This window comes from Homo sapiens, chromosome 5 (genome assembly GCF_000001405.40).
Source record: "Homo sapiens chromosome 5, GRCh38.p14 Primary Assembly".
Classification (NCBI taxonomy): domain Eukaryota; kingdom Metazoa; phylum Chordata; class Mammalia; order Primates; family Hominidae; genus Homo; species Homo sapiens.
The window spans coordinates 129,766,748-129,775,897 of NC_000005.10; the positions used below are offsets into that span (position 1 = coordinate 129,766,748).

The 9,150-nt window shown below is 38.7% G+C and overlaps 3 annotated features.

The window, feature by feature from the left end:
- Positions 1,005–1,506: an enhancer, noted in NCBI's record as "NANOG hESC enhancer chr5:129103445-129103946 (GRCh37/hg19 assembly coordinates)". NCBI's record gives its function as "activates a minimal SCP1, AML or CMV promoter by ChIP-STARR-seq in naive H9 embryonic stem cells {active_cell/tissue: H9 hESC(naive)}" and the evidence as "EXISTENCE:reporter gene assay evidence [ECO:0000049][PMID:30033119]".
- Positions 1,377–1,436: an enhancer, noted in NCBI's record as "active region_23039". NCBI's record gives its function as "activates an Ori minimal core promoter by ATAC-STARR-seq in GM12878 lymphoblastoid cells {active_cell/tissue: GM12878}" and the evidence as "EXISTENCE:reporter gene assay evidence [ECO:0000049][PMID:35858748]".
- Positions 4,757–5,310: an enhancer, noted in NCBI's record as "OCT4-NANOG hESC enhancer chr5:129107197-129107750 (GRCh37/hg19 assembly coordinates)". NCBI's record gives its function as "activates a minimal SCP1, AML or CMV promoter by ChIP-STARR-seq in naive H9 embryonic stem cells {active_cell/tissue: H9 hESC(naive)}" and the evidence as "EXISTENCE:reporter gene assay evidence [ECO:0000049][PMID:30033119]".

The window sequence follows — 9,150 nt, forward strand, 5'->3', positions numbered from 1 at the left end:
TTGTAGTCCCTGATTTTTTATTCCTCTTCTCCTCCGTGGAAGGTTCCAGTACAATTTAAAACTGAATTACAGGAGAAATTTAAAACTGAATTACAAGAAATAAAGTATCAGGGACTTTATCACTCTCGCTGTGGACAGATATTGCTTGCTGTTACTCTGCCTTCAAAGCTTACCTGCCTAAAGTTTACCTCTAAGGGATTCAAAACATGTTCAGGTCTCTGCCACACGTGGAAAACATCTGTGCTGCATCAGGTCACATGTGGCTGCCTAGGATTAAGCATGGGTAAGGCTTCTAAAGGCAATAAGCAAGAGTAACCAGAAAAGTGTAAAGCCTGCTTACCTGAATTCCTGTCTCCCTTGCCCCCATCTCATTACCTTTCTCTTCTGCCTAGTCAATTCTGGTCAAGCACCTAGTATTCTTCTATTCTCCCTATCCCTCTTCTATTCTTATTTATGATACTATCAGTCATTTAGGTTTCATCATAAATGAGTTTATTACTTTCCTATTGCTTCCAAACCAATCTTCAGTTTTAGCTTTCAATGTAACTGTAAAATCAAAATATATTATTGCCCTGCCTTGAATTAATGTTATGCATCTACATGTGTGGGCAACTTATAAATAAAGAGAATTTACCTGTTTACACTCAAAATAATACCTTAAAAGAAGTTCCAATTTTGCCTTCTACAGTACAGATTTTTGTGAAAATGGAGCAGAAAGAGCATAAAGTCATGGAAAATGCAGAGGCGATGGCCCTAAACAGGCTTATGTTGAAATCGGCTTTCTTGAGAAGCTCTCATCCAGATTCAATGAAAAAGTGTCTCTAAAATATTTAAATGCAATCCTTGGCAAATAACGGGTAGTCAATAAATAATAATTATTATTATCTTTAACACTGACTATTTTAGTAACTTTTAACCTAAATTGGGGTGAGAACACCTGGCTCCACCAGTTCTTAAGTTATAATAATTTAGTTTCAACAATAATCTTCCCCAGGTTTTTGTATACCGCCCCACACCCCCCCCCCCGCCCCCGCCAAGAAAAGGTATCTTTTGTATTTTTGCTTTGTTTTTGTATATTAGGTGAGTGTGTGGGAGGCCTAAAAGCAAATGGTATATTAAATTTTCTTTCAAAAAAAATTCCAACTGTGCATACTTTTTAAAAGTGCTCCTCCCAGACTCAACAGGAGGATTAAAGTTTTTTTTTTAACATAATCCATTAATGGCCGTTCCAATTATATTCATGCTGCTGTCACCTAGTGGAGAGTTTAGTGAGTGGAAAACAGAAAAGGGAGCGTCCTGGATACGTTTCTCCAGAGTGCACTACTGCCATCTGGTGGTGATATTTACTAGGCCTGCCCTCAACTCATGAAAAAGCATTTTACCAAAGGGATATGCCTCTGTAATTACAATCAGTGTGATGGCATGACTCACAGCTCCTGCAACCACTAATTTTGATACCCTCTCATCTTTCAAGAAAAGAAATATGATTGGCCTTGAGTCATACTGACACTTGAAGGCAGAGCTGTAACCCTCAGCATCAACTCTTGACTCTGAGGCACATCTTATGCTAAAGCTAAAAGCTAGAGGAATGCCTGGAAATTGCCCCATTTCTAATCTCTTCAAATGGGTTAAAGTTTTAGGAATATTAAACAACTTACTGCTTGTTTCAGAGTTGGTATGATCGCCTGAATTTCTACATTTGTAGCTCTCTGTATTGAGGGTGTCTTTAAATATTATTTTTTAGTAATTTTTTACTAAAATTAAATTTTAATAATGTTGAATTATTAAATGGTATCTGTACCCATTGCTTAACACAGGTCTTAAGTTCTCCCCTCATATAATTGAATAAATATAATTTTATTATATCTGAGAAATAATTTTTAAAACTGTAATTAGGGCCCTTAAATCTCAACACCTCTGGATTTCTACTTCCAAACCCACAGAGTCTAAGAGAATATACACTTTAGAGGAAAGACAACTTTTTTGGTTTCTTCCAAATAATCACTTAGTCCAGGCTCTTGCCTAACGTAAGGTGAGAATATTCAACCAAAGTGAACGACTTCAGAAACCGAACCCAGATTTCTACCAGAGCAGTTCTGCTTTCATTTTATAGACACTGTAACTCATGTACCTCATCCAGTTTCCCTCGTTTTGCAGACTGTAGGAAAGGGAGTGGATAGGACTTCCTTGTGTGTATTTTGAGCCCTTCCCGCATTCCTGGCTCCATTTTATAATCTGCCCTTTCCTGCCTCTTACTTTCTGCCTTAAATACACGGTGCTCTGTCTTTCCTCAATGCCTTATACTTACTGAAAAGATGCAGAGTATATAGAACTATATGGACTATATAAACAATTGTGTGTCTGTATTTAAAATATATGCATATATACATAAATAAAATCTAAATGCAAAAGCTCTGTCTCCCAGGCTGGAGTTCAGTGGCAGGATCTCAGCTCACTGCAAGCTCCGCCTCCCGGGTTCACGCCATTCTCCTGCCTCAGCCTTCCGTGTAGCTGGGACTACAGGCGCCCGCCACCACGCCCGGCTAATTTTTTGTATTTTTAGTAGAGACAGGGTTTCACCTTGTTAGCCAGGATGGTCTCAATCTCCTGACCTCGTGATCCATCCCCCTCGGCCTCCCAAAGTGCTGGGATTACGGGCGTGAGCCACCGCGCCTGGCCAAAAGGCTCTCTTTCAAAATAAAAAATTGAAATAAATATTGTATCTTTTAAATAAAGAAATTCTTTTTTCAGTATAAAATATTCTCTGACTAGATTTCTTTAGCAAGAAGGAAAAAGATTCAAGGCTTACACAGTTTTGCTTATCCTGTACGCCGTTTTTAAGTTCCTGACAAAGAAAAGGTAGTAATTCTTCTTATGCTAATTAAACTGGTGGGTTTTTCTCAGCTATGAAATAAGCGCTAAAATCTCTCACATTAGAATTAGTTTCAAAGTTGGGAAATATTGTTTAGATAATTATTTGAATAATAAAACAATGGTTAGGCCAGATTCAAAAGTATATCAGTAAATATAAATGAAACAGCAGTTAACTAAGTTTCTTTCTTAAAAATACATTATTTTAAAGGCTGAAACATTTCTAATCAATACTTAATAGAATAATTTTATTGTTCCTGCTGCAAAAGTTTTCTTTTTTTTTTAATATAATGATCAGAAACCACTTTCAAGAATTGCAAACCCAGGAAAAAAGTTTTATTTTGCTTATCATGAACATATAAATGTACAGCTTTTACAGCTGTTTTCCAAGTTATTCAGGAAGATTCTTGACAAAGACTCTGTCCTTGATCTAATGCTAGTTAGGCTCCCCCGAGTGTCTCTCTGACTAGGCTCTGGATCTTGGGTTGTGTCCATGGTTGGCTTATTCCACTTTTGGCAAAAATCTTGCTAAGTCAGTTTACAGTAAATCTGACTACCCTCTATACGATATCTTATCACCCTGGCCTTCCTTCAGTAAAAATCCTGTTAGGTCAGTTTAGCAAAATATTACCCTACTCTTAGTAATATTCCATCCATCAAAGCCTGACTGTTCCCCTTAGCTATAAGTCTCCACTTTTCCTTATCATATTCAGAGTGGAGACTGATCTCTCTCCTCTACTATAAAACCCCACTGCAGAAGCCTCCCTTGAATAAAGTCTTCTTCACTGCCTTTAACATGTGTCGTAAACAATTTTTCCTTTAACAAGTCCAGTGGATGCCCATGGACAGCAGTGTCCCATAGGGCCCTATGCCTGCTGCCCACCCACCTGAACATTTCCATCCTGGCCTTATTAAGAATTCAACAGAAATAGTTGTAGCTTCTACACTGCATAATTTTTAAAACCCTACCCCTTCTACAAGCTCATTTCATCTCAACTATAATCTTGAGAGATAAGTGTAAAAGCCGTATTTTACAAGAAGAGATTGAGGCTCAGGGACATCAAAAGACTTGTCAGAATCAAATTGCAATGAGAGCTTAGATCTACTAAACCTATTCTGACTATTCTTTCTGCTAAAGTTTTTATTTTCTCATGGCTGTAGTGGGGGCTTGATATGGTCCAGCTGTTGATGAAGACAACGGAAGTGCGTCTCCTCTCCTTCGACCCATAGCTATACGTACACTCAGCCCCAGTCTCCAAGTGAGTACAAAAAGACCCTGCTTTAACAAGGGCAAACACAGTTATGCTCAGAATCCCAGTAAATCTGAATGCCATATGCTTGTACCATTTTGTAATTTAGGCTTGTGGGGCTTCTTTATAAGGTAAAATATTAAGTGATAGACTCTATGATTAAGAATATGTATGAGTTAATTACTCTTTCTTAGTAAGTGTTATGGATAGAATGTCTTTCCCTTATGACAATGTTCCAGAGTACAGGATCTGATTTCTCTAACTTTGCCTTAGATTATCCCTAAATTAGATGTCAGTCCCAGGAAGCTCCAACGCCTCTGTGTCAGGAAGGAGTTTGGCTTCAGAGGAGCTGACATCAAACCCACGCTGAAGAACCTCACCTCCGGGAAACCTGCAGGTCTGTGTCGTCTGCATCAGAGGTTTGGTGGGATGAATCCCTCAATCACTCTCCAATGTGCTGCCATGTAAGGCACCTAGTCATAGTTTGGCAACAGAATTTGCTCCCAGGATTTTCTCATCTTTGTAGACTATGCCTTTAAAATGCACCTTTCTTTACTGTACACTGGCCAGACACCGAGTTTCATCTTGTTCACCATGATAAAGAGCAGAAGGGAAAGGATCTTTTATTTCCCTATAGCTTGGAGTTACTCTCTCACCACCAGAGGGCAGGTGTGTACCAGGATGCCAAACCACAGCTTGCCTATTTTGAGGGCGGTATTTCAGTTGTGTCAATATACGGGTATCTTGACAAATGAGTGAAGAACTTCCAAAGGAATACAAGTGATTAATTGTGCTGATTAAGCCCTAGGGTAGGGAGCAGGAGAGCCTGCCGGGATCACTGAGTGTGCATCAGCACAGAAAAGTGACAGTAATTGGGGTCCCATGCTGAGAAGTCTTCAGATCAAGGAAGTTCAAGCTGGGCACATGGACTTCGTTAACCAAATCTTCTATTGTGTCTTTACTCAAGTTGTGGTTCATGCTTATTAAAAAATGCAGACTCTCAGGGCAGCTGCATCAGAATCGTCATGTTTAACAAGCTCCCTGGGTGATTCTTTCTCTCTTAAGTTTGAAACAGGATCTTGAGAGTGTCAGCAACTCAGCAAACTCTTTCAAAGCTAAGGTTCAGGTTGGGGAAACCCACAAGTGTTCTGGATTTTGTTGTGAACTTTTAAAAGCCCCGTCCAGGCGCCCATGAACGTAAGGCCTACTTGGTGGCACTTCCCTGTGGAACAAACAGGCAGATGTACAGATACAAATCATCTCTTTGTCTTGGCTCTTTCCTCGGCCTTTACACACTCCTCAGGAATACAAGTTTCATGAGCAATTTAACCCTCAAGATGTATACAAACAGATTTTTATTTAACAGATAAATTATACTTTAAAGTTGAGCTGGAATTCGTACTCATTTTAAATGGAATCTTAGAAATATGATCATGAGACAGCCTCAGCCATCAGGGATCATGCAATAATGACTTCTTGTGCATCAGTAGGAATTTCGTGTGAATCAGTGGCAGAACTCCAGCCATATATTGTCCCTAAAGATGGTTTCTAGGACACAAAGCCACTCCTTCTGATTCTAAATTTATGTAACAGGTTTGAATTCTATAGACACCAACTTGAGTGCGAAGAAATAGAACTCTTGTCCTGTCTCCAGAAATATAGTATTGGGGCTAAATTTAGTCCAATCAGTCTTTTATCAGAATTACTAATTCAGTCAAAATTTAATTCAAATTTTAATTCAGCTTCCTACTTCTTCCTCTGGAAGATATGCAAGTCTAGAGAGGAGAAGTCCATTCATTCGTGGCAGGGAGGGTGAGATTCTGTCTACTTTCATTATTTTGTGGCACAGTGCTGGATGGTGCTGGCTCCCACAGGTGACACAGTCATCACCAGTACAGTGTGCAGGAGATACCAGCCAGCATCTCACTTATAAAGGTCCACATACATCACAGTAATGTGCATCTCCTTGATCTATGACCTGTTTTTGGCCAGGTAGCCTCTGGCCATGATCATCAGCTCATGCTCCAAGTTACTTTCCACAGCTTACCATGGAGCCTTGGGAAGAGTACAGACCTCTTCATTGCCACTCCCCAGCCACAGGGAATCTCAGGTAGAGCTGGGCCCTCCTTTCGTCAAAATGTATCATTTCTGTTTTTTCCCCAAGCCTCATGGTATATGGTATCTCGGAGGTTTCTACTCTTAAACTGCATCCCAAACATGGCAAATCTGTTTTCACATCTCTCAGAAATGCCACATTTTTCAAGGGACATATTTATATTTTCTTCCTTTCCCTTCTTCACCTACCCCAGGGAGGAAGTACAAATTCCTCTCTTCGTCCAAAACAGCATTCCCAGGTCAGCTATGTCTTCCTGGAGCTCAAATTTTTAACATCCTTCCAAGGAAAGAAGGGAAATCAGTTTGATCTCTTATACCCTACTTGAGTCGGTCCTGTTTTGTGATAAGAGCAGCATCATTGCTCATTTAGACTGTCAGTCCTTGCTGTCCACGGAGGTCTTCACATTCGTCAATGCAGTTTGAGTTAGAAGTCAGATGGGAATATGGCTACAGGTATCTTCAGGAAAGAGAAAGGAAATAGTGTTAATAGTTGGTTATTCTGTCCTATTTTGCCTCGCCATACATGCTTGTGCCCAGAGAGAGTGAGTCACGACACAATCTTAATCTCCTTTATCTATTTCGGTACGTTCTCAGAGGCTATCCACAGAATATGATTAATGTTACTATCTTCACCCAGACAATAAGAGAGTTCTGGGATTTCCCTGGAGTGCTGGGACCCCTTGTGGGAAACACTAAGTAAAATGTATTTGACAAGAGGCAAATGGAGAAAAGACTAGCTGGAGCCAAGAGCTGGTGTGGTTTCAGTGTGTGCATACAAAGGGAAGCATAAAGAATATTTTTTGTTGAGCAGTGATAGAATTGCTCTGTATCCTGATTCTGGTTGAAGACGCATTAATCTATAAATTTTTTAAAATTCGTAGAACTATGCACCAAAAAGTCACTTTTACTGGATGTTGCTTATCTATCTGTCTATCTGTCTATCTATCTATCTTTCCGTGGAAGTTTCCATATTAAATAGCTTCTACAGGTAGGCTTAAATGAGCTGCCATTTACAAAGAAAACAAAAATTGAAGCTACATTAGGATTCTGTTTTTTGTATTTATTTTCTGAAGCACCATGGTTCTACCACATACAAATAAATTTGTAAAACAAATATTCCAGTATATTTTCAAAATTTTATAAAATATTAATAAAAATGATCTCATGGTGTTTCATTTATAGATTTGTTAATCTTTCCATTATTATACACATATAATATTTTGGGAACCGTTTCAATTTAATTCAATATTTTAAAGTAATTATGGTTTTCATTATCTTTTCTTTTAAAATAATCTAAAGTTACATCCTGTGTATGCATTATATGTGCTTGCTAAATCTTTATAGCTTACTTATACTTGACACTCAGCAACAGAATTCTATGTCTTCATATCCTCTCCTTTAGAGAGCACAAAATGTAAAAGCAGAGACATTCTTACTAAACTCCTGGAATAAACACTTCTGGAATTGTGTGTTAATATAGTTTTAGTAAAGATAACAGAAATAGTAAATGTGGTCTCTGACTTGAGTTTTCAGCTTTTTTTTGTTGGATTAGAAGAGAACAGAAATTTTGAGGATTTTTCATAACTATATAAAGGAAGGAAAAATTTTTAAAAGACCTAAAAATTAAAAAACATGGCAAAAATCCAGAATCAAGTAATATAACACACTTGATAACACAAAAGAATCTTGCAGCAGGGGTAACAACAAATAACATATAAGCATATTTTTAAAATTAAGAAGACATAATCAAGAACAAAAGTCAAAATTCATATACCTATGTAACACCATCTATGTTTTGTTTCTTCAATAACTAAAATCCAAGATCACAAATATTTTCAAAATACTAGCTCTTATTTCCGTAGTGACCTACTATCTAGTAGTTATCCCCACTATTTCTGGCTAATTATCTATTAGCTACTTAACAACCTAACTATTACTACTACAAGAACCTACTACTACCATTGCTGCTGCTATTTTACAAAAACTGCAATTACTTTTTCACCCACCTAATACAACTACTACTACTACTGCCACCTAGCTAACTGCTCTCTCCTTGGCTAGCTACGAGGGAGAATAAAAAGGATTTTCACCCCGCAGTGCTCAAGTACATATGTCTAATGAAAATGGATAACACCCATGAAGCTAAAAGGCAAAAGATAGTATGTCATAAATGCACTGCAGTTGCCACTGATTACATGTACTATAGCAGGCCGAAGGTGAATGAAATAAGCCTTTGCTGATTGCAGGATTAGGAAACTTTCAGAGGATGTGTGTTTTAAGGGGCCCAGCACAGTGGCTCACTCCTGTAATCCCAGCACTTTGGGAGGCTGAGGCAGGTGGGTCATCTGAGGTCAGGAGTTTGAGACTAGCCTGACCAACATTGTGAAACCCCGTCTCTACTAAAAATACAAAATTAGCCATGCGTGGTGGCGGGCACATGTAATCCCAGCTGCTAGGGAGGCTGAGATAGGAGAATCACTTGAACCCAGGAGGTGGAGGTTGCAGTGAGCCAAGACTGCGCCATTGCGCTCCAGCCTGGGCAACAGGAGCAAAACTCCATTTCAAAAAAAAAAGAATAGTATAATCAAAGGCACAGAGGACAGAGGTAGGTAAGCCACAGGTTCAGGAAATGATATGCAAGAAGGACATGACTTTGTTTCTTATTTCACGCAGAAAATAAAAGCAAACGAGAATAATTCATATGCTTTCACTACACCCATATATTCTTCTTACTTCTTTTAAATTGATGAATGCTCTCTTTTTAAACCTGAAGTTCACTGGATCCTGTTCCATCTGTTCACTAAATCCCTTTCTCTCCCCTCGAGGACTTGCCTTCTGCAATTGACACTGACCCTTCTCTTTCTTGCACTGACAAAATATTTTCCTCTACCAGGTCATTCCTATCAACAGATAA